The sequence below is a fragment of the Homo sapiens genome, chromosome 7 (assembly GCF_000001405.40).
Source record: "Homo sapiens chromosome 7, GRCh38.p14 Primary Assembly".
Taxonomy (NCBI): Eukaryota; Metazoa; Chordata; class Mammalia; order Primates; family Hominidae; genus Homo; species Homo sapiens.
The window spans coordinates 130598099-130622995 of NC_000007.14; the positions used below are offsets into that span (position 1 = coordinate 130598099).

Sequence of the window (24897 nt, forward strand, 5' to 3'; positions counted from 1 at the left end):
CTGGGACATTAGAGCAAGGGCTGGTTCATGGTATAAGATCTCAAGGATGCTTTTTTTTTTGTATCCCTCTGCACACTGACTCTCAATATTTGTTTGCTTTTGAGTGGACTAATCCTGAAACTATTATTACCCAGCAGTACACCTGCACAGTACTGCCTCAGGGCTTTAGGGATAGCCCTTACTTGTTCAGCAATGCCTCGGCATGAGAATTAAGGGAGCTAGAGGTAGAAAGGGAAGCCGTACTCCAAGATGTGGATGACATCCTTGTATATAGTTCCACTAAAGAGAACTCAGATAAGAATACCATTCAAGTCCTAAACTTCCTGGGAGAAAGAAGATTATCAGGTCTCTCCATCTAAGGCCCAGATTTCTAAAATGGAAATAAAATATCTGGGATACATCCTAAGCCCAGGAAACCGGATCTTGTCTGTCAAACAATAGGAGGCTATCTTAAAGACGAGACCTTCACAAATGAAGAAGCAACTCATAACTTTCCTAGGTATGGCACGATTTGGATCCCAGGATTTCAGCTCATTACTAAGCCACTGCATGAGGCCCTAACTGGGCCAAAGCATCAACTGCTCGGAGGGGCTTGCGCTGCAATAAGCCCCATCTTCTGTTCTTATACTAACAGTTCAGTATTAGCTGAACTACAAGTTCAAAAGATTTACCAACGGGCTATCCAGCTAAATAATTTCAATAACTCTATCATGCAAGCCATCTGGGACCCCATCAAAGGCTACCTACCTAGTGTGACATGGTTCCTACCTTCCCTAGGACTTCTAGTAGCTATCCTCTTATTATTGGTTTTTAGTCCTTGCTTGTTTAACCTCTTTGTAAAGTTATGTCTTCTAGGTTGCAAAGTTCCACGTCAAAATGATGGTCATGCAAGGATTCCAAGCAATCCCTGCCTCAGATGCAGACTCTTCTGATGACCCACCCTTGGGACCCTTAGAGCAGGCAGCCAGAGGTTTCCATGCTGGTGCCAGGCAGGGCCAATGCCCCTAAATCAGCAGGAAGCAGATATAGAAAACTGTCCTCCTCCCTCATCAACCCTTAAGAATAAGGGATGGAAGTCTCTGAGGGGGATAAAATGAGACAGGAATAATACTGGGTGGTCACCTGAGTATAGAAAACTCCAGGCAGCAGTTTCACATGACTAGAGGCTATGGGCTGGTAAGTGAACAACATGTGAACAGAGCTGGCTAAGACCAACCAGACCCAATATGGCACTGGATTTGACCTAGATTTCACCTAGGACCTCATTATATGCTCATTAACATACTAAGTCACACACCCATTGGTGCCATGACAGTTCCAAGAACACCCGCATTGGGTATGAGTGGGTGGCACTACAGTTCAGAGACATCGCCACCTTTTCCTAGAGATTTTCATAAATATTCTACCCCTTAGTTAAAGCAACCCATAAAGGTAGCAGCCCCAAACCCCCCTTGTATGGAACTCTCTCTTGAGTATGCCCACACTCCCCTTTCTTGAGTTTGTACATTTCTCTTTGCAGTAAATCTCTATACTTTCACTAGAAGAAAAAAAAAAGAAGACACAAAATATAACATGATTCTATTGACAGAGCATTCAAAACAAGGCAAAACTAAACTTTACTGTTTAGGGATGCATACCCAGGAAAAATTTGATATGAAATTAGGATAGTAATTTGCTCTGGGGGTAAATAATCATGATCAAGGAGGATATATAAAGCATTTCTGGGGTACAAAGAAATGTGCTACTTCCTAATACATGTGGTCATTATAAGGGTGTTTCATAGCAACTGTATATATTGGACACACAACTATTATGTTTTATGCAGTTTTCTATAAGTACAGTTTTCACTTTAAAATTTTAGAAAGAATTAATACTGTATATTCTCTCTTAGATGCAGGGTTCTAAATAGGAGGTCAATTTTGTTATCAGTAACATACAAATCAGTTACAGTCTTACATTTTTATACTTGATTTCTCAGTTTCTGAGACAGTTGTGTTAAAGTCTCCATGAAGAGATCAAGAGGACTTAGTTTCCTGTATTAAGATTTTGATGTGCATATTTTGAAACTATATATTGTTAATATTAAGCATATACAAGTTCATTCCTGTTATATTTTTTTAGACCATTACTTTTGTCAAAATACAAAATTCCATTTTGTCATTTTTATTTATTTATTTATTTTTTGAGACAGAGACGCTGTCACCCAGGCTGGAGTGTTGTGGCACAATCTTGGCTCACCGCAACCTCCGCCTCCTGGGTTCAAGAGATTCTCGTGCCTTAACCTCCCAAGTAGCTGGGACTACAGGAACGTGCCACCACGCCTGGCTAATTTTTTTGTATTTTTAGTAGAGACAGGGTTTTTCCATGTTGCCCAGGCTGGTCTCGAACTCCTGGGCTCAGGCAATCCACTCACCTTGGCCTCCCAAAGTGCTAGGATTACAGGCGTGAGCCACTATGCCTGGCCCATTTTGTCATTTTTAGTGCACTACACACTGATTCCTATTTTGGCTTATATTAATATTGCTACATGGCATTTTTTATGTGTGTGAGTGTATAGTTAGTATACATTTTTTATATATTTATTTTCAATGTTTCCTGTCATTTTGTTTGTGTCTTTTCTAAAGGCATAAAGGTCTCTTGTTTCATTTTGTTTACCCAATCTGAGCCTCTTTTAATATGTAAATTCAATTACATTCATTATGATAAATGTTATATTTTGTGTTCTAGCCAGCCTCCAAGATGGCCCCCCAAAATATCCACTTCTACAATTCCACATCCTTGTGTAGACATTATATACACCAGAGTTTGTCTGTGTGACCAAAGGAATACATGAGAGGTGATGGCCTGTCACTTTTGAGATTCGGTTATAAAACACTGCAACTTCCATATCAGGCTCACTCTTTCTCTCAATTCCCTTGCTTTGGGAGAAGCCAGCTGCCATGCTGTGAGAACATTCAGGCAGGAAAAAAGCTCATCATCACTGGTCATTAGAGAAACGCAAATCAAAACCACAATGAGATACCATCTCACGGCACTCAGAATGGCAATCATTAAAAAGTCAGGAAACAACAGATGCTGGAGAGGATGTGGAGAAATAGGAACTCTTTTACACTGTTGGGAGTGTAAATTAGTTCAACCATTGTGGAAGACAGTGTGGCAATTCCTCAAGGATTTAAACCAGAAATACCATTTGACCCAGCAATCCCATTACTGGGTATATACCCAAAGGATTATAAATCATTCTACTCTAAAGACACATGCACACGTATGTTTATTGTGGCACTATTCACAATAGCAAAGACTTGGAACCAACCCAAATGCCCATCAATGATAGACTGGGTAAAGATAATGTGGCACATATACACCATGTAATACTATGCAGCCATAAAAAAGGATGAGTTCATGTCCTTTGCAGGGACACGGATGAAACTGGAAACCATCATTCTCAACAAACTAACACAAGAACAGAAAACCAAATACCGCACATGTTCTCACTCATAAGTGGGAGTTGAACAATGAGAACCCATGGACACAAGGAGAGGAACATCACACACCGGGGCCTGTCGCGGGTGGGAAGCCAGGGGAGGGATAGCGTTAGGAGAAATACCTAATGTAGATGACAGGTTGATGGGTGCAGCAAACCACCATGGCACATGTATACCTATGCAACAAAACTGCACGTTCTACACATTCTGCACATGTACCCCAGAACTTAAAGTATAATAAAAAAAGGAAGGAAGGAAGGAGGGAAGGAAGGAAGGAAGCAAAGAAGGAAGGAAGGAAGCAAAGAAGGAAGGAAGGAAGGAAGGAGGGAAGGCTCTCAAAGTGAGAAACTAAAGCATCTGGCCAACAGCCAGGGAGAAACTGAGGCTTGTCAACAACTATATAAGTAAAATTACGTGGATCCTCCAGGCCCAGATGACTGCAGGCTAGGCCAACGACTTGATTATAAACTCATACGAGGGAGGGACCTTGAATCAAACTGGACAGATTCTCTCAGATCCCTGACCATAGCAACTAGGGAATAGTAAGTATTACTTATAAGCTGTGAATTTTTGGTCCAATATACCACATAGCAAGAGATAACACATACAGTTACACTTACTTCTAACCGATTTCTTTCCTGTTGTCTATTTGAAGGCTTTACCTCAATCAATTTTTTCCTTATCAATTTTCAATCAACTTTTCCTCACTCCATTTTCTTCGACATTTTGAAAGCTTTACATTCAATTTACATTCTTTATATAATTAAATATTATATTAGCTATATCTATAATATTACAATAAAGTTTTATATTATTACCATATTTTCCTCCCATACAAGATGACAACACACATACACAGCATACTTTTACTTCCATCTAATACCACCTTCCTTTTTTTACTTTTTTTGAGACAAAGTCTCACTCTGTTGCCCAGGTTGGAGTATAGTGGCACAGTCTCAGGTCACTGCAACCTCTGCCTCCTGGGTTCAAGCAATTCTCCTGCTCAGCCTCCTGAATAGCTGGGATTACAGGCACACACCATCACACCCAGCTAATTTTTGTATTTTTAGTAGAGACGGGGGTTTCACCATATTGGCCAGGCTGGTCTCGAACTCCTGACCTCAAGTGATCCTCCTGCCTCGGCCTCCCAAAGTGCTGGGACTACAGGCATGAGCCACCACACCCGGCCAACCACTTTCCTTTTTTTTTAAAGCCTACAGCATCCGGTATTACCAGATTGTCTCGCATCCAAGTACTAACCAGGCCCAACCTTGCTTAGCTTCCAAGATCAGATGAGACCTGGCTTGTTTAAGGTGGTATGGCCATAAACTAATACCACCTTCTACACCATTATTTCTCATGTTGTCATCCTCTGGAATTTTAGAGCTTCTAATTAAAAAAAAATTATTTGTAAACATCAATTCAGAATTATCAACTTTTCTACCCCAAATAAGAACCATCCAGCTAAGACATTCCCAAACCCCTGACCTGCAAAAATTATATGGAAAAATAAATATTTACTATCCCTTTAATCTGGTGTTACACATGACAGTATGAAAATCATACGTGAATTACTACAAAATTAATGTGCTCCTACCTCAGAGATAATCACTATACTAACTTTCAATACCACAGGTTAGTTGTGCCTATGTTAAGTCTAAAATAAACATAAATGGAACTATATAAAATGTATTCATTTGTGTATGACTTCTTGGTGAGATGTATTTATGTGATTGTATTTAACAGTAATTGTTCATTTCCATTATTGTATACTATCTGACTATATGAATATACCACAATTTATTTTTTGATTCTGGCACTGATAGACATTTGGACTGCTTCCATTTTGTGGCAATTTGGGCATGGTGGCTCATGCCTGTAATCCCAGCACTTTGGGAGGCCGAGGCAGGTGGATCACCTGAGGTCAGAAGTTCAAGACCAGCCTGGCGAACATGGTCACACTCCGTCTCTACTAAAAATACAAAAAATTAGCAGGGTGTGGTGGTGCGTGCCTGCAATCTCAGCTACTGGGGAGGCTGAGGCAGGAGAATCAATTGAACCCGGGAGGCAGAGGTTGCAGTGAGCCAAGATGGCACCATTACACTCTGGCCTGGGCAACAGGAGCAAAACTCAGTCTCAAAAAAAAAAAAAAAAAAAAAAAAATTTGCGGCAATTATGAATAACAGTACTATAGGCATCTTGTACAGTTGATCCTCGAACAACATGGGGTTAACAGTGCCAACCCCCATGTAGCTGCAAATTCACATGTAACTTTTGACTCCCCCAAAATATCACTAATAACCTACTATTAATCATCTTGTTGATAACAAAAATAGTTCATTAACACGTTTTATGTTATATGTAATATATATTGTATTCTTACAATAAAGTAAGCTAGAGAAAAGAAAATATTAAGAAAATCATAAGGAAGAGAAGATATAACTATTCATTAAGTGAAAGTGGATCATCATAAAGGTCTTCATCCTCATCATCTTACATTGAGTAGGCTGGGGTGGAAGAGGAGGTCTTGATGTCTCAAGGGTGGCAGAGGTGGAAGAAAATCCATGTGTAAGTGGACCCATGCAGTTCAAACCCATGTTGTTCAAGGATCAACTGTATGTCTTTTAACACACAAATGTAGGCATTTCTGTTTGGTTATTTATAAGAAGCCAATTGGGATTGTAATTAGGGGTTTGTGGAATCCATAGGTCAATTTAAGAAGATGTATCTTTACAATATTGAATATTCCATAAATGTTATATGCCTCATTTACTTAGGTCATACTTTAATATTGTGTAATTTTCTGTGTAGAGATATACACAAATTTTAGTAGATACATTCCCAAGGATTTGATTTCAATATAATTATAAATTGTACCATTTTTACAAAATTTTATCTTTTTGATGGGTTGCTGGAATAAGAAATAAAATGACTTCGGATATTGACCAGCAACACTGGTAAATTTACATATGAGCTCTAATAGATAATGTACAGTTTATTTTGCATTTCCTATATATATAGCCATATTATCTCCAAATATAGTGTTACGTCCTCCTTTCAAATTTTTAGGTATTTTATTTTCTTCACTTATTGCACAAAGTAAGCCTTCTAGCAAAATACTATTTAAAAAATAAAAATAGCAGGCATTTTTGTCTGTCTCATTCACAATCTCTAGGGGAAAGCTTTTAATAGTCCACCAATAAGTATAAAGTTTAGTGGAGTTTTTTTGTACTGTTGTCAGAATAATCATGTTCCCTTCCAGTCCTGGTGGCAGAGATTTCAATCATGAATTGCCATTAAATTTTATCAACCGCTTTTTTCTGCACCCATTAAGGCATTAAGACTCTTCTGTATTTTTAAAATGAGGTATATTATGCTATGTTTTACTGTTAGATCAACCTTATACTACTAGAATAAACCCATACTGGGAAATATTTGGTCATTATTTCTTCATATATCTTTTTTGCTCCATTCTATCACCTTTGCTTCCAGATTCCAATTACATATGTGTTAGGCCACTTGATCTTATCCCACAGTTCTTCGAGGCTCTTTATTTTCTTTAATCTGTTTTCTCTCTGTTCTTCAAACTAGCTACTTTCTCCTGCTCTATCTTCAAATTCACTAACTCTCTTTGACTCTCTCATCAGCCATCTCTAATCTGCTGTTAAGTCCATTCAGCAAATTATCTGATTCAGTTATTGCACTTGCTGGGGCAGAATGGCTCCCCAAAGATGTCTATGTCTTCATTCCTAGAACTGATGAATATGTTACGTTACAACATGGCAAAGGAACTGTGCTGATATAATTAAGATTGTCACCTAAATTACCCAGGTAGGTGCAATCTAATCACATGAGCACTTTAAAGCAGATGTGCTGAAAGAGGAGGCAGAAGAAATGTGGCAGAAAGGCAAATCAGAGAGATTCAAAGTGCAGCTCAACACACTATTGCTGGCTCTGACACGTATGAATCAACATGCAAGGGACTCAAAGAGAGGCCTTTAGTTGCTCATTGAAAGCATGAGAAGGAATACAGGCAACCTCTAGAGGCACAGACTAACCTCCAGCTGAAAGCCAGCAAGGAAACAGAGACCTACAACCTACAGTCTCAAGGAAATGAATTTGGCCAACGACTTAAATGAGATTGGAAGTGGATTCTTCCTCAAAGCCTCCAGTAAGCAACAGCACTCCACCAACATCTTCACTTTAGCCCCATGAGGCCTGTGTCAGACTTCTAATCTACAGATCTGAGATAATAAATGGATCTTGTTGTAAGCCATTACATTTAATGGTAATTTGTTATGGCAACAATAAAAAAAACTAACAGATTTTGGTACCTGTAAGTGAAGTGTTACTGCGACAAATACCTCAAATTGTAGAACTGACTGGAATTAGGCACTGGGTGGAAGCTTGGAAGAATTTTGAGGAGCATGATGGAGGAAGCCTAGTTTTGAAGAGACTTATAAGAAATCTGATCTTAAATGATCCACCCACCTCAGCTTCCCAAAGTGCTGGGATGCCTATAGTTCCAGCTACTCAAGAGGCTGAGGCATATGAATGGCTTGAACCCAGGAAGCGGAGGTTGTAGTGAGCTGAGACTGTGCCACTGTACTCCAGCCTGGGCAGCAGAGCAAGACTTTAAAATAAATAAAAAAAAGAAAGAGAGAGAGAGAGAGAGAAAGAAAGAGAAAGAGAAAGAAAAAGAAAGAGAGAGAGAAAGAAAAGAAAGAAAGAGAAAAGAAAGAGAAAGAAGGAAGGAAGAAGGAAGGAAGGAAGGAGAAAGAAAGATCAATCGATCTGGTTCTTAAGGACACTGCTGGTCAGGGCTTATGAACTGCCTACAGAAATTTGGACTTAAAAGATGCTGTAGTGAGGGCTCAGAAGGAAGTAAAAAACACATTAATGTAAACTTGAGTAAGGTAGATCCTTGTTATTATGTATTGGCAGAGAGCTTAGTGAATTTGTGCCCTGTAGTTATTTGTGAAGCAGAACTTGTAAACGATGAAGTTGGATATTTACTTGAGGAAAATTCCAAAAATGAAGATGTGACCCAGTTTTATCTTGCTGTTTACAGTAAAATGTGAAATGACAAATTTCACCTACGGAGAGCAACTTTGGCCTGTGCCCCTGAGTTCCAGCCTCCCTGCAATCTTCCCTTCCTGACAGCCTATCCTATGAATTTTAGATTTGCTTAGCTGGCCCCCGAATTACATAATCAATAAACAAATCTCTACATATTTATATCCTCCAGGTTCTACTTCTCTGGTTGAATCCTGACAGAGTATTTTTAAGCTCTAGAATTTCTACTTAGCTCTTTTTGTCGTTTCCATTTCCCCTGTTCATTCATGGTAACTATTTTCCATTAAAGTCATGGACAAGGCTGGCTGTGGTGGTGCACACCTATAATACCAGCACTTTGGGAGGCTGAGGCAGATTGATTGCTTGAGCTCAGGAGTTTGAGACCGGCCTGGGCAACACTGCGGAACCCCATCTCTACAAAAAGTACAAAAATTAGCCAGGTGTGGTGGTGCATCCCTGTAGTCCCAGCTACTTGGGAGGCTGAGGTGAGAGGATTGCTTGAACGTGGAAGGCAGAGGTTGCAGTGAGCCAGGATCACGCCACTGCAGTCCAGGCTTCACAACAGAGTGAGAGAGACTGTCATAAATAAATAAATAAATAAATAAATAAATAAATAAATAAATAAAGTCATGGACAAATTTATAATAGATGCTACAAAGTTTTTGTTTGCTAATTCCAATGTCTGGATCATATCAGGGTTAGTTTCTATTGATTGCTTTTTCTCTTGGCTACTAGTCACATTTTCCAAATTCTTTGTACTTCTGGCAATTTTTACCATCTATTAAACATTGTAATGATATACTGTAAAGACTCTAGAACTCATGGAGTTTCTTTAGCAAGAAGCTTGGCTGGGATCAAACTCCAAACTTTATTTCCTCCATAGTGAGTTGCAGCTGAATTCTCCATTCAATTCTTTTATCTTACAACTACTGCTTTTGGCAGGTCTCCTAGAGTATTCTCCTGTATATATGTAGTTCAGTTGGTCAGCCAGTGATTTTTGTAGAGTTTAAAATTCATTTTGAGACTCATTCCTTTTATGGCTCCCTCTTTTCCAGGTTTTCCACTCTAAGTTTTCAGTTACTCTTCCAACCTCAAACTGTTTTGACCACTCTGTCCAGAAATACTGTAGCTTTCTGTCATCCTACACTGAGGAATTACAGAATGCCCTCAGGAGAATAGCAAAAAAACCCCACAAATTTCACCCAGTATAGCTTTTGTCTTTCAGGCATCAACTGCTTCCCTCCAGTTTTTGCTTGCTTTTCACCACTCCCCAATATTTTCATACTGTTGTGGGTTATCTTCATTTTGGGAAGGTATAGCTTTGTACTAATGTCAATTATTATTTGCAGGAGGATTAAGCTGGCCAAGCTACACCATTATTGGAAGGAGGAAGCTCAACTGAATATTTTTAAATATTCCATTTTATCTTCTCTGTTGACATTTAAGATCTATATGTTTTACAAAGATTTTTTTGTTAGTTATAATATTCATCCTCAAGAGATTACAATATTCATCCTTATCACAGTGTATCATCAAATAATATACTACTGCATGATACAAAAACTTTACAAATGTCCATTTTTCTCCCTCATGCCCTTTATACTACTATTTTCATATATTTCACTTCTACATATATATAAGCCCCATAATTTGCTGCTGGTTTTAGTAAAAATTGTATATATTTATAATTTACCTACATATTTACCTTTTAATTTACCTACACATTTACCCTTTCTCTTGTCCTTCATTCCTCCTGAAGATCCTGGCATCCATCTACTATCATTTCTTTTTAGCTGGAAAAACTCCTTTTAGCATCCTTCATGATGCAGGTATGCAGACACAAATCCTTTCGGGTTTTTGTTTTTTCCTGGTTGAAAATGTTTTAATTTCACCTTCATTTGGAAGAATACTTTTAGAGTATAGAACTCCAGATTTTCAGTTATTTGTTTCAACAATTTTAAGATGTCCATTATCCTCTCGTATCCATTTTTCTAATGAGAAGTCAACGATTCTTATTTTTGTTTCCCTGAATCTAATGAATCTAATTTGTCTTTTTTTTAAAAAAAGGCGACTTTCAAGCTTTTCTTTCATTCTTTCTCTTTTGGTTTTCAACTTTTTACTTGTAATATATATGACTAGGTTATGATTAGGTGTGGTTTTTATTTATCCTACTTGAGTGTCACTGGCCATCTTGGATTCATTTTGGGTTTGTTGTTGTTATTTTTTGAGATGGGGATCTCACTCTGTCACCCGGGTTGGAGTGCAGTGGTGTCATCTCAGGTCACTGTAACCTCTGCCTCCCAGCCTCCCATGCTCAACCGATCCTCCCACCTCAGCCTCCTGAGTAGCTGGGACCACAGGCCTGCGTCACCATGCCTGGCTAATTTTTGTATTTTCTTCTGATAGAGATGGGGTTTTGTCATGTTGCCCAGGCTTGTCTTGAACTCCTGAGCTCAAGCGATTCACCTGCCTCAGCCTCCCAAAGTGCTAGGATTACAGCCATGAGCCACCGCACCCAGCCCCTTTCATTCATTTTGGAAAATTCTCATCCATTGATATGGTTTGCCTGTGTCCCCACCCAAATCTCATCTTGAATTTCCATGTGTTATGGGAGGGACCAAGTGGGAGGTAATTGAATCATGGGGGCAAGTGTTTCCCATGCTGTTCTCATGACAGTAAGTCTCATGAGATCTGATGGTTTTAAAAATGGGAGTTTCCCTGCACAAGCGCTCTCTCTCTTTGCCTGCTGCCATCCATTCAAGACGTGACTTGTTCCTCCTTGCCTTCCACCATGATTGTGAGGCTTCCCCAGCCACGTGGAATTGTAAGTCCATTAAACTTCTTCCTTTTGTAAATTGCCCAGTCTCGGGTATGTCTTTATCAGCAGCATGAAAATGGACTAACATATCCATTATCTCTTCAAAGATTTATTCTATTCCATTCTGTTTCCTTTCCTTCTGAGACTCATTACACAAGTATTAGACTTTTTGATATATTCCCTAGGCTTCAGATGTTCTATTCTTTTATTTTCTTTTCTTATTTTTCTCCCTATGCTTCAGTTTGGACAATTTCTATTGACTTGTCTTTAAGTTCTCTAATCTTTTTTCCACTGTGTCCAATCTGCTATTAAGTGCTTCAAATAAATTTTTATTTTTGATATTGTATTTTTTGGTTCAAGATTTTTTTTCTAGTTTCTATTTATCTATTGAATTCCTTACCCATTTACACATTTTGTCCATCTTTTCCACTCTTTAGTGGAAAGATGTAATTTACAAAAGTTACAAAAGTTCACTTTACAAAACTCCTTTGGTGTTCACTTTAGAGAAGTTGTTTAAAAGTCACTGCCTAGTAATTTCTAAAGTCACTGCCTCCTAATTTCTATATGTGGGTCATCTGTAAGTCAGCTTCTACTGACTATTTTTTTCCCTCTTGTTTATGGGTTACATGTCACTGCCTCTGTATTTTTTGATTGTTTGCTAGACACTGCTTATAAAGGTGCAGTAGACACTGATGTAACTAATACTTATCATTAGAAAAGTGCAGGTCCTTTTTCATTTTTAGCAGCTAATAGTTGATCTGGGTCAGGACTTTGCTGCAGCTTTAATTAAATTCAGTTATCTGCTGTTTACAAATGATCTGAGGAACAGATCAGGTTTCCCCTTTCAGCAGGGCATTAGTAGTAGTGGCAGATTCTAGAGATCTTTCTCTGTGTTACACCTCAGTTTGCCAGGCCACATAAGAAATCTTTGTTTTAGAGCTCAGCCATAAGCCTTCAGGCTGGGGAAGGGGTCTTCTTTGCTCCCTAGATCCATGCCCAGCTTACTATACCTCAAAAGATTTCTCATTCCTGCCCTTCCCTAGCCTTCGAAAGACTGCTAAAGTATATTTGGTCACATCTTATGTGCCTCAGACTTGTGGAATGATCTTAGGCAAATCACTAAATGCAGTACTTCAACATTCTCTTTTATAAAAATAAAAGGGATAGGATAATTCTTAATGTCCCTGCCAACTTTCATATTTAATTATCTATATATCTTATGATCAATGCATATATTTTTTGTTCAATATCAGTTTGTTAATGTGCTATTAATAATTAAGTACATATACAAGAGCATACAGTAAGGTTAAAAAAAGTGTGACTTGAAATTCCATAATTTTTTTAAAAAATTGAAAAACATTGAACTCATCTGTAAAGTTAGCACTGCCCCAAAAAAAATTCAAAAAGGAAATAAACTCTAAGGTATATTAACTTCGCAAATGGAAAATAACCCAGGTTTAGGTGAAGACACTTACCCATCCTCAGTTTCTTTTAGTAAGCGACTGGCAATTCGGATCAGCATGCAGTAAGCAAACTGTGACTTGAGACCAGATTTAGTAAACTTATTCAACATCTTGGAAACAGCAAGTCGATCATTCTTTCTAAGGTGATACAGGACTCCCAATGCATGGTACTAAAGAACATGAAAAAGAAGGTAGCACATGGATTAGAAAGATGTCAAAATATTTACACAAAAATAGAATTACACGGAACTAGATTAAAGATTTCTTTAAAATACCCAGGTCACATGTACACAAATATTTTTTTCACACTGAACTAAACACAGGCAAGACTGAAAAGATTAAACGTTTCTAATTTACCCCTAGAAGCTGTCAATTCAGACTGGCAGGCATAAAGGAGGTGACATACAACCTGAAGATGGCTCTAGCAGGCTCAACACTGGCTCACACATCCTCAGTACACACGCTCTCGGGTCCAGGGCTTTACTGGTGCTATCTGTCTCTACGAGTGGCTTTACATCATCTGTGGCCATCTTAGTAATTAAAGGATTAATCTCCTAAAGCAGGCTACAAGAGTGTCATCATCTTGACACTTTGTATAAAAACACATGATCAGAGTCAGGAGAATGAGAGTGTTTCCCAAGGGAAAAATGACTACTCTGTTTCCTAATAACTGAATATGTTACCATAGAAGTTATAAACATCAAGAGGGCATAAACGCCCTCTCAAATAAAATGGGGTACTTTACACACAATTTCCAGTGAAGAATTTAATCTTATTCCTCTTAAGAATAACCTAATAAATATCAAAAGAGCTCTTTTTGACAAAATGGTTTCAAAGTTTCATAAAGTAAAAGCTGCTCCGTATGATTTTTATAATGCCTATAATCAAGGCCTCAGAACTTGGAATTATCTTTTTACACAAATTATTTTTCAAATAAAAGACTGCCACGAGCATCTCAATCTACTACTGAATATAACAATCTTTCCCAAATATTCCTACAAAGGGTCATCTAGCTTCTATGAAACACCTGAAGGGCAGTATTCAAATGGCAGTAATCATAATTAGTGAGATTCCTACTTCAGAATACGTACTAGTAGCTGCTTAATTTGCCTTTAGTTAATGTTTATCTAGGGAATCGATACACTGCCCCTACAATACAGGTTTAAAGAATGCTGATCCTGAGACAAGCTAATGTGATTCAATGACAATACCTGGACCATAATATTATCACTTGATGCAGCTTCTTGGGCTTCATTGATCCAGCGCTTAACCACATCATAGCTTATCTTCATCATGTGCTAAATACAGAAAAAAAAAAATGAGAATAAATAATGCTTGGTCACTAGAAGCTTAGAAACATGAGTTAGTTTTCTTTGAAAATCACAGACATTTCCCAAGAGGAAGAAAACTATGTAGCTCTTATAAGTCTATTTTGTGTCTTTACTCCTGGAGCAACTGATAAACCAGAAGTATTTTCTCCCATACCTGTTACAAAGGTGAGTATATGTAAGCTGGGAGAGGTGTGTAAAAGGAAGTAATGAAAGAGGAAGAACAGGATAGGGATGGACAGTCAACAGAACGGTGCTTAAATAACGTTATCATAACAAGCTTTACTTCCAGGAAACTCCCCTGGAAGAAAGAGAGTACTAGTATATTCTCTGCTATAAAACTCAGCCAATTATATTCCAGAATCAGGAACTCTTGTATTTAGATGTCTTACACATTCACATATAGGTAACTGACGTTAATCAAATGCAATGTGATAGGTTTTAATGTATAAATTGTGTTCTGCTGAAAAACGGAAAGAAAAATGTATTACTAAAAAAAAGACCACTTCCTGGGAGGAAATTCAGAAGTGGGACAGGAAACTTTGGATTGAAGGATACACGTAGACAAAGGGCACCAGAAAAAGCAGAGGACAAAGAGACAAGTAGTAGAAGTCATAAAGGCAGGTCATAAAGAAGATTTTAAATGAAAGAAAAGGGTCCTAGGTTTCTTTCCTGTCCCATACCCCACACTTACCCCTCTTTTATTATGTGTACAACATAACTTTCAGATTTCCAAAACCTTTCAAACATACGAACATTTTATGTTTTTAATTGCTCAATGATCCTATAGATCAGCAATCTCCAACCTTTTTGGCACCAGGGATTGGTTTTATGGAAGACAATTTTCCCATGGACAGAGGGCAGAGGGATAGTTTTTGGATGAAACTGTTCCACCTCAGATCATTAGGCATTAGATTCTCATATGAGGCCGGCAACCTAGATCCCTGCATGCGCAGCTCACAATAGGGTTCGAGCTCCTATGAGAATCTCACACTGCTGCTGGTCTGGCAGGAGGCGGAGCTCAGGCAGCAATGCTCGCTTGCCTGCCACTCACCACCTGCTGTGCAGCCCAGTTCCTGACAGGTCACAGACCAGTACTGGTCTGAAGCCCTGGGGTGGGGACCCCTGCTCTAGATAAAACACACTTGGATAAAGTAATAGAGGTGTATACATATTTTTAACTGTTTCATTTGTGAGACAATCATAGTGATACTTTGTTTTCGCAACTCAAAACTGTACCATGCTTAAGAACTAGGAAGCTGCTTGTTCACTTACCAGGGAAGATACCAGTGCTGAACTGGATACACTGGAAACTTTATCCACAATGGCCTGCTTCATGTATCTTTCAATGGCTTGCAACATTGTTCCCTAATAACATTCAAAAAGAAAAAATTGTTAAGGAAAAACATGCTTATGCAAAATTACTCTTATGCTTCAAAATAATTTTCAAAAACCAATCTTATATTTGTTTCTGTGCAAATATTCAGAATGCACTAAAAGGATGATAATATAGTAATAATATCCCAAAGGGCAGAACCCAAACAACGAAGTTGAAGCTTTAAGAAAGAACATTTAAGATTATATATAAAGAAGAATAACTGTTCAACAATGAAATAAACTGTCTCAAAATGGAGAATCTCAGTTTGGAAGAAATACACAAGCAGAGGCTGAACCCATCAGGAAAGTCATAAAGAAATTCCTATATGGAGATGGAGCCTGCTTTTGAAGTTATGAAGATTCCTCTATGTGAAGGGCACATATTATATACAGATCCCAGAGAGTCCTAGAAATCAAACGTAATCCCTGATTATCTGAGATACATAAAGAATTAAATGTGTAGTGTACTACTATAGTGAGCCCTCAACATAAAATCCTCTGGAAATACAGTTCTTTTTAACTTTAACTGGGAAAAAGCACTGGGAAGGTGGTGGCAGATAAAGATGAGTAAAAAGACTGAGAGCAATATTCAGATGAAAAAAAGAGTTTTATTGCTAGCACTAGCATGGTCAAGTCTCACGCTGCTACCAATGTAATGCAAAAAATAAAAAACAATCACAACAGAACAACAGTGCACCAAAAAATATTAAAGCATTTCTATTACTCCTTCTAGAATCCAGATTTATCAGATGTATAATTTGGTCCTGCTCAACCTTTACAACTTAAGAAGGTTACAAACATACACCTAAAATATACCCAAGCATGGGTATATAGCTATTATTCAATTTGCTTGGTAATGCCTGGCCTACCCTTCCTACTCAGAGTTCCCAGAAAGAGACAGCCTAACATACTACATGATCTCATCCCTCCAGATATAATGAACTGGATCAATGTTAAACACCTGACTCAGACACAGGTGGATATAAGCTACTGGCCTATTGCTGACTAATCAGATTCTCTCTCTTAAATGTTTCAATAAGAGGGCCTGTGTCTAGTACATGATGGATCACCACAGTGAATAGCCTGGCCAACATGGTGAAACCCTGTTTCTACTAAAAATACAAAAATTAGCTGGGCATCGGCCTGGTTTTAGAAAATATTTCATAGGGAAGTTGAAGATCTGGAAATTTATTCCTTTAAAACTCTCCTCAGACAGATTTGAGGATATTGCCTGGGTATTCCTTGCAGTCTTACCATACCCTAGGAAAATCTTCATTTACCCCACTTGGAAGACTTCTTAATATAGGCATATCCAAACTCCAATGTCCCTGACTATCCATTATTTTGAGACACCAAAGCAAATGTCCTAGGAAGTAAGGAGGAAGACTTGTTGTTCTTGGAATAGAAGTGAGTTATGAGAGAAGTCAAAAAGGATGGCTCCAAGTTGGTGTAGCATGAAGGTCATGGATACGGTCCTTGGCTTTGCAGTTCTAGAAGTGGATTTTGTCAGTTCACACAAAGGTATTCATGTTTTGTCACATTAAATCAAACTCATAGGAAGTTATGTACATAACAGAATGCCAGTGCATTCTTTTATACTTATAGCCACCAAGTGAACTGGATTATCGCTCCTGTTGGGGAAATCTTATCTGGGAAGATCAATTATAATCAGAAAGTTATATGAGGAGTGTGGATCTTGAGCATGGCTATTGTCAATGAGCTGATGAGCAGGTGCTCAGTGCCTGGCATATAATAGGAGCTCAGTAATTATGGAATGAATGCACTTCATCTATGTCTTCGTTATAGATGCTAAAGGGGAAGTTTAAGATTCTGATAGGCCACCCCAACAAGTTTTTTGATCAGGTAGATCTTTCCTTTTTCCTCAAGTTATACTCTTAAATGGCTATATCATGTAGATATTAAATCCAATAAAATTTCATGTCAGGGAATTATATAATTGCAACAGCTAAGTTTTATCTATCATCTCTGAGCCTAGAAGTTAGGACTGTTTATTTATAAAAGAGATTGGAGATTGCTTTCTTGTGCCCTGTAGGAGTAGTGATGGTGGTAGCGGCTGAATGATCTGTATTTCACAATACTGTTTGGTGGCCAAGAGTGTACTGCATACAAAGAATGACACTGGGTGACCTTCAGTGCTGGCGCTTTCCTAGAGGTGGGACACCCTGACTAGGGAAGTGCTGAGCCACCTGTGGGCCAGCCAGTGGTTGTGGACTGTACTGTGGTGAGGAGGAACAATAAATTTCCCCCACTCCTTAGATCCCCCTTAGGACATAATACTTGATATTGCTTTTAAGGATAGACAAAAAGACAAGCCTTTTCAAATTTTAAAATCATTAGGGATGAGTTGCCAAAAAATTTGGATAAGTTTTATCTGGAAGCCAGAAGACATTGTCTCCTCAAGGCTTTTTCTGGCTCTAGGATAAGCTATTGAGATAGAGGAAAAGATGCCAGGCTGAGAAGTTTCATTTAGTATTTTAACAATAATAAAAAAGACATACAAAATCCAAACACTTCTTTTTACAATTCAGATATATATTTTTTTCCAAGTGCAAAATACTCTATGAACTGCATCATTTGCTGTTTATTGTTGATTGTGTAGGAGATGCTTACTATATTGGCAGCAGTGGAAGGCAGATATAAATACAGTATTTTGAGATTTCTTCTGCATTTTAACAAAAAGCCTCCCACATGGCGATGATTATTCTGAAACTTGAGTTCAGCTCACACAGAAGAATAAAGTTTTCAGTTTGTTCAAACTGCTACAAAAAAAAAAATTAGCCAGGTGTGGTGGTGGGTGCCTCAAATCCCAGCTACTCAGGAGGCTGAGGCAGGAGAATTACTTGAACCCGGGAGGCGGAGGTTGCAGTGAGCCAAGATCGTGCCACTGCACTCCAGCCTGGGCGAAAGCACGAGACTCCGACTCAAAAAAGAAAAAGAAAAAAAATCTGCTGTTGAATTCTTAAAGCTGCCCAATTTCTTGCCCTGGTGTCTACCTATAAGCTTCACCTCAAATTCTGAGATTTGTGTCCTATAATAAAGCTTTTTAAGATAAATTTGAATGGGTTTTTGTTTCCTGCAAGCAATGTACCCTCACTACAACAGTTCAAGGGGGCAAATAAAGAGAGAAAATGGACTAACATAAATAAAGGAAAAAAATCTGAAGACAAAAGAAAGCCTGGAGCCACAAAAGCCTTTCTGGTGATCATGTTTCTCTTATACTGAAAATTCACAAAGTCAGACTAGGAAATCCTACTAAATCTACATGGCCACCTGCAGATAAACATAGTGTTCCATTTGGTAACTCAGTGAAACAGATAACTTACATCGGTGATCCTGCAGAGAGCTCTGATGGCCGGGCCTCGGTATACATCTTCTTTTCCAGTCATGTCTTTAGTCAGACTAAGAAAAATCAAATTGGTTAACATAAGATCAATTAAAATCTCTCCCATGGAGTTCACCCCTAGCCAATTTCCAATTGTCCCATAATTATCTTAATGCAGCTACTAATTCAACAAATATTTATGGAGCATATTCTTTGTATATGTGCTAAGACTACTGCGTAGAAGACTGTTCTAATTCAAGAATAAAGCAATGAGCAAAATTAGTAAAAAGCAAAAAGTCCTTTGCCTTCATGGAACTTATCATTCTGGGAGGAAGAAAGATAATCACGTAAACAAAACAACCCCTTCCCCATAATTTTAGATACTGATAATTAGCATAAAAGATAAACTAAGGACAATGGTATAAAGCGTCCTAGTCTGACATACCCCCAAATCCTAAAATCCCATCAGACTAGACATAACTTTTAAAAATAAATTAACAAAAATAATTAACTCAAGAGGTATCTCTCTTTGGCATGGCTTTCTAAAATTATCAATGGCTTCAGACCTTTCTGCTGAGCTTCAAAAACAGGCAGAGGTGTGAACTAGCTACAAAATTCCATGTCCATGCTTTAAAGAGGTTTTTAACCTTTTACCCTCCCTTCTTTAGCTCCCCATGCATTTATACTACTGCTATCAATCTCTCCACTTCCTCAACTCCTCTCACATAATCCAAAATGGTCTACAACTCTGACTCCCTCCATTAGGAAACCAAGAGGAAGAAGTTTTGACTGATAGTCCTTCATTTCTTTTTCAATTAGGAAAGCAATTTGGCCAGGTGTGGTGGCTCATGTCTGTAATCCCAGCACTTTGGGAGGTCAAGGTGGGAGGATTACTTGAGCTCAGGAGTGCAAGACCAGCCTGGGAAACATGACTAAACCCCATCTCTACAGATAATACAAAAATTAGACTGGTGTTGTGGGGTGTGCCTGTAGTCTCAGCTACTTGGGAGGTTGAGGTGGGAGGACTGCTTGAACCCAGGAGGCAGAGGTTGCAGTGAGCTGAGATGGCACCACTGTACTCCAACCTGGGTGACAGAGTGAGACCCTGTCTCAAAAAAAAAAAAAAAAAAAGACTTTTTTTGGAAGTGTCCTGCACTTAAAAAATTTTGTAGCGTGGGCATTTTTCCCTGATGCACTCTTTCTGGCTCTGTCAGATGCAAGCTTGGTTTTCCGGATTTCCAAGAGGATCTATGAACTAGATTCTACTGCCAGCAATGGGGAGCCCTGAACAATACACTCGTTCAGTAATTTAAGTGCCAAGGACTATGAATTTTCCTCTGACCATAGCTTTAGTTGAACTCATAGGTTTTCATCATTAGATTTTAAAAATATTCTGTAATTTCAATTTTTACTTATATACTGTCCCAAAAGTTGAGGTTTTCTTTTTATTTTTCCATTTTGACATATCTGGGTACTATCTGTTCATTTTCTTCTCAAAATAAATGTATCATTTGATTGCATTGTAATGACAGAATAAGTCTCTACTATATTTCCACATTCTAGAATTAACAGGTTTTCAGGGGCTGAATGCTGAATAATTTGTAAGTGTTCCATGAATACTTATAAAGGTGACTTTTCTATTATAAAGGTAAGGTTTTCATAAGTATTAATCAATCTGTATCAAGTATATTATTCATATCTTTTTTACCCTTAGGTTTTTCCTTCTTTTTAAAACAAAGGCTGATACTATTTTGTTTCTATTTACATTTTTTGTGATTTTTGGCTTATGTACTTTGGTGTTACATTAATAAATAATTCATGACAGTTCCTCCTCATTTTGGATAAAGTACCTCATTCTTGTCTCCTTCAAAACTTTTTGCATTTAATTCAATTTTCTAATTATTAATACCTTCACCCAAGCTTCCTTTCAGTAGTGTTTGCCTTATATGCTTTCACCCCTCCTTTTATATTCAAATTTTGCTTTGCCTTGTTTTATATACATCACAATATGTAGCATATAGTTAGCTGTATTTTATTTTTAAACTAATCTGTATTTCTTTTAATAGGCAATGTCTGGTGTTAATTCTATGAATTTGTTTTGTGTTACATCTCTATTTTTAGTACTTTCTTTGTTTCCTATAAGGCAGTGTTATCCAACAGAACTTTTTTCAATGATGGAAAATGTTCCATCATTCAGCATAGTAGCCACAAGCTAAATGTGTCTAATGAGCACTTGAAATATAGCTAGTGTGACTAATGAACTGAATTTTCAATTTTACAAAAGTTCAATTAATGTTCACTATAATAGCCATATGTATCTAATGGCTATCTTATTGGACAATACAGATGTAAGAGTGTCTTTTGTTTTCCTAAGTGAATGTGTTTTCTCTCTGAAATATGGGAGATTTACATTCTAGTTCTTTTTGTCGCTGCCATAAAACTTTAGATAAAAGAGTTAAGCTATGAAAGCAAAAAAATTAATGCACGTAAGCTTTCTCCTCTCTCATCTGCCCTCCCGTGTATCTCCAAATTTTTGTTAGTATTATTCTTTTTGTATTATCATGGATTATAACATTTACATTCTATCTTTAATCATAATTTCTACAGTAGTTTAACCCTACTTCTATAATTGAATACATTCAATGCTCACTGGTAATTCATTTCCTGTAGCCCCTCTATTACAGAATTCACTCTTTTGATTTAATATAACTTCAATGCTTAATTTTATTTTTCAAGAAAAGCTCACAGGTGTTATGGTCCCTGAATTCTTTCCAGTGTGGAAGTCTGCTTGTTGTCCCTGTACTTGAATGACAATTCGCTTAGCTGTATTATTCTTGTATCACATGTTCTGTTTCTTAAAACTTTGCAGATACTGTCCCCATTCTTTTCTGACACTGAAAACTGCCATGAATGGCTGAAGTCGGACTTAGTTTTTCTCACTTTTAAATGACTAGCTTTTTCTGCCAGAAGTCTTAAAAATTACTTGTTTCTCTCCACAGTACAAGTTAACCAAGATGCATGTTGGTGTCAGTCATTCTGTTACAATTTTTATTGGAATACAGTATGCTATTTTAATATGTAGATTTATTTTAATACGTAGCTATGTTTTTAAAAGTTCTCTTTTTTAATGTTTTATCTATAAATAGGGTTACTACTTCAGCAATGTCAAAAGTTTTGCCCTCTCATCTCTATTAAATTGCTTAAATTTTTTTCTTTTAGTTCAGCATTTCAATGAGTGTCTGTTAAGTGTCAGACACTGTTCCAGACACTTAGGATACTTTAGCAAGCAAAAGACACAAAGACTCCTGCCCTCAACAAGCATACATTCTGACAGGGAACAATCTAGTAAATATTTCAGGCTTTGCAGGCTATATGACTACCCCATAACCACTTGATTTGGTTGCTGTAACATAAAAACAGCCATACACAATACATACACAACCCTCTGGCCCATAGAGTGGAGCTGGGTGCCACAGGGACTATTCCCAACCCTTGAAACCTAAAAGTTTACCTGATTAAATTTAAAAATTGTCTGGTGCTAGTGACTCTTTTCTTTCCTCTCATTGTCTCCCTTTCTGAATGGGAATGTATATAATTGTTATTCTATGCCTGTCCCACCACAGTATTTTAGCAGCACATAACTTGTTTGCTAGTTTCACAGGTCCATAGATAAAGAGGAATTCTGTCTTGGGATGAATCATACCCAGAAACTCACCTATACTGGAGTTAGATGATTAGATTATGAGATTTGGGACTTTTGAGTTATAATATTTAACGAGATTTTAGACCTGAGTTAATGCAATGGGTTTAGATTTTGGAAGATTTTTACAATATGGTGAATGTGTTTTGCATGTAGGATGGATGTAAATCTTTAGGGACCAGACAGAAGCCTGTGGTAAGCTAAACAACAGCCCCCAAAGACATCAAAGTCCTACTCCCTAGATCCTTAAATGCACTTTATATGGCAAAAGGTACTTTGCAGATGTGATTAAGTTAAAGACACTGAGATGGGGAAATTATATTGAATTATTTGGGTGAGTCCTAAATGTAATCACAAGTGTCCCCATAAGAGCAAGGCAGAGGGAGATTTGACACAGGAAGCATATGTGACAACGAATCAAGAGACTGGAATGATGGGAAAGGGGAGCTAGGATTCGAGGAATGCAAGTAGCCTCCAGAAGCTAGAAAAGGCAAGAAAACAGATTTTGCCCTAGAGCCTGCAGAAGGAACCTGCTCTGCCTATACTTCTGACATCAAACCGGTGAAACTGATTTTAGACTTCTAGCCTCCAGAACTGTAAAAGAATTTGTGTTGTTTTAAGCCACCAGATTTTTTAAGTTACTAAGTTTGTGGTAACTTGTTCCAGCAGCACTGGGAAATCAATGCACAGGAATGGCACATTTATTCTGTAAATATTTTAGACTTTACAGGTTATATGATCTCCTCACAACTACTCAATTCTGTAGCTGCAGCACAAAGGCAGTTATACACAATACATTAAGAAATAGTGTGGCTGTGTTCCAACAAAACTTTATTTACAGCTGGGCACGGTGCTCACGCCTGTAATCCCAGCATTTTGGGAGGCCAAGGCGGGTGGATCACTTGAGGTCAGGGGTTCAAGACCAGCCTGACCAACGTGGTGAAACCTCGTCTCTACTAAAAATATAAAAAACTGGCCAGACGCGGTGGCTCACACCTGTAATCCCAGCACTTTGGGAGGCCGAAGCGGGTGAATAACAAGGTCAGGAGTTCGCGACCAGCCTGGCCAACATAGTGAAACCCCGTCTCTACTAAAAACACAAAAAATTAGCTGGGTGTGGCAGCCCACACCTATAATCCCAGCTACTCGGGAGGCTGAGGTGGGAGAGTCACTGGAACCCAGGAGATGGAGGTTGCAGTGAGCCAAGATCATGCCACTGTACTCCACCCTGGGAGACAGAGCGAGACTCCATCTCAAAAAAAAAAAAAAAAAAAAAAAGACAACAAAAAAACTTTATTTACATGGTTTTGGCCATGTACCATAGCTTGTCAACCCATGTTCTATACCTCTGTCATAGCTTTGGCTGTCCTGACAGCAAAGGCTTGCATAAAGGTAGTTTATTTAGGAAGGTGTTCAGACGGTGAAGTGAATGACAGGGAAATGAACAGGGAAGGAGGTAAAAACAATATAAAGACCTTTCCTTGAGTGGGTCACTGATGCTGGCCACTGGTTATTTAATGAGCAATCTTCCGAGGAGCCTTATGAAATACATCTCAGAACCACTAACTGTTAGCCCCTGGCTGAACGTTAACCCCAGAGTATTAATTCCCCCATACTTCTGGGGAGTATACACGTGAGCTGCAAGTGAATCTGAGTAGGCAAAAAACACTCAGTGCATACCTGAAGTAAGGCAGTAACAATGCCAGTGAGCTGAGCCCCAAAAGACTTGCTCATGATGCCACAGCTGGAATCACAGATAAGGCCTGAGACCATGTGAAGTGGCTCAAAAGAGGTGTCCAATACAGTCTACCCTTTCCATCCCTCAAATTTGTTCATGTCCTCCATTAAGTCTAATCTATCATGGAGGCTTCAAGACGGTAGCAATCACTATTTCTACAAAAGACTAAATAAAGGAAGGTGAGTGGAACATAGTTCAATCCTTGCTGCTACAACTAATTCCAAGGCCATAATTGATATTCATCATCTCCTTCCTAAAACCACCCATTCTACATTTCCTTCCCCACTGGCCAGCACTTTACCTGGTTTTGGCTACTTCTCCAATAGTTGACTCAAACCTTTATCCCAAAGGATGTAAGCCCTGTGTTGGGTGCACCCTGATTGAACCACTGATTGTTCTCTACCCCTACCACCACTGTCAGAGGCAAGAAAGCACCAAAATATACTCAAGGGAATACCATGAATTCTAGACAGAGTCCTTTCTGCCACCATTATACAGAAATGATCCTAGCTCCTGACAGGAATCAAGGTCAATGACCTCTATGAGTACGGTAGCACTTTCCTTACCTT

The 24897-nt window shown here is 38.3% G+C and overlaps 1 protein-coding gene and 1 pseudogene across 2 annotated transcripts in view, besides 1 other annotated feature; both read right to left on the reverse strand.

The window, feature by feature from the left end:
* The window catches only part of COPG2 (coat protein complex I subunit gamma 2), a 162511-nt gene that overhangs the window by 91861 nt on the left and 45753 nt on the right, over positions 1–24897 (reverse strand). For both annotated transcript variants that reach the window (NM_012133.6, NM_001290033.2), the window contains exons 6-9: positions 18892–18967; positions 15446–15538; positions 14054–14140; positions 12855–13012 (exon numbers count right to left, since the gene is read on the reverse strand). In NM_012133.6, the coding sequence (NP_036265.3) occupies positions 12855–13012; positions 14054–14140; positions 15446–15538; positions 18892–18967 (414 nt within the window). The remainder of the gene's footprint in view (positions 1–12854; positions 13013–14053; positions 14141–15445; positions 15539–18891; positions 18968–24897) is intronic.
* Positions 3900–4100: a silencer, noted in NCBI's record as "peak6720 fragment used in MPRA reporter construct". NCBI's record gives its function as "represses an SCP1 promoter by STARR-seq MPRAs in K562 erythroleukemia cells {active_cell/tissue: K562}" and the evidence as "EXISTENCE:reporter gene assay evidence [ECO:0000049][PMID:32103011]".
* On the reverse strand, positions 4697–4815 carry RNA5SP246 (RNA, 5S ribosomal pseudogene 246; annotated as a pseudogene).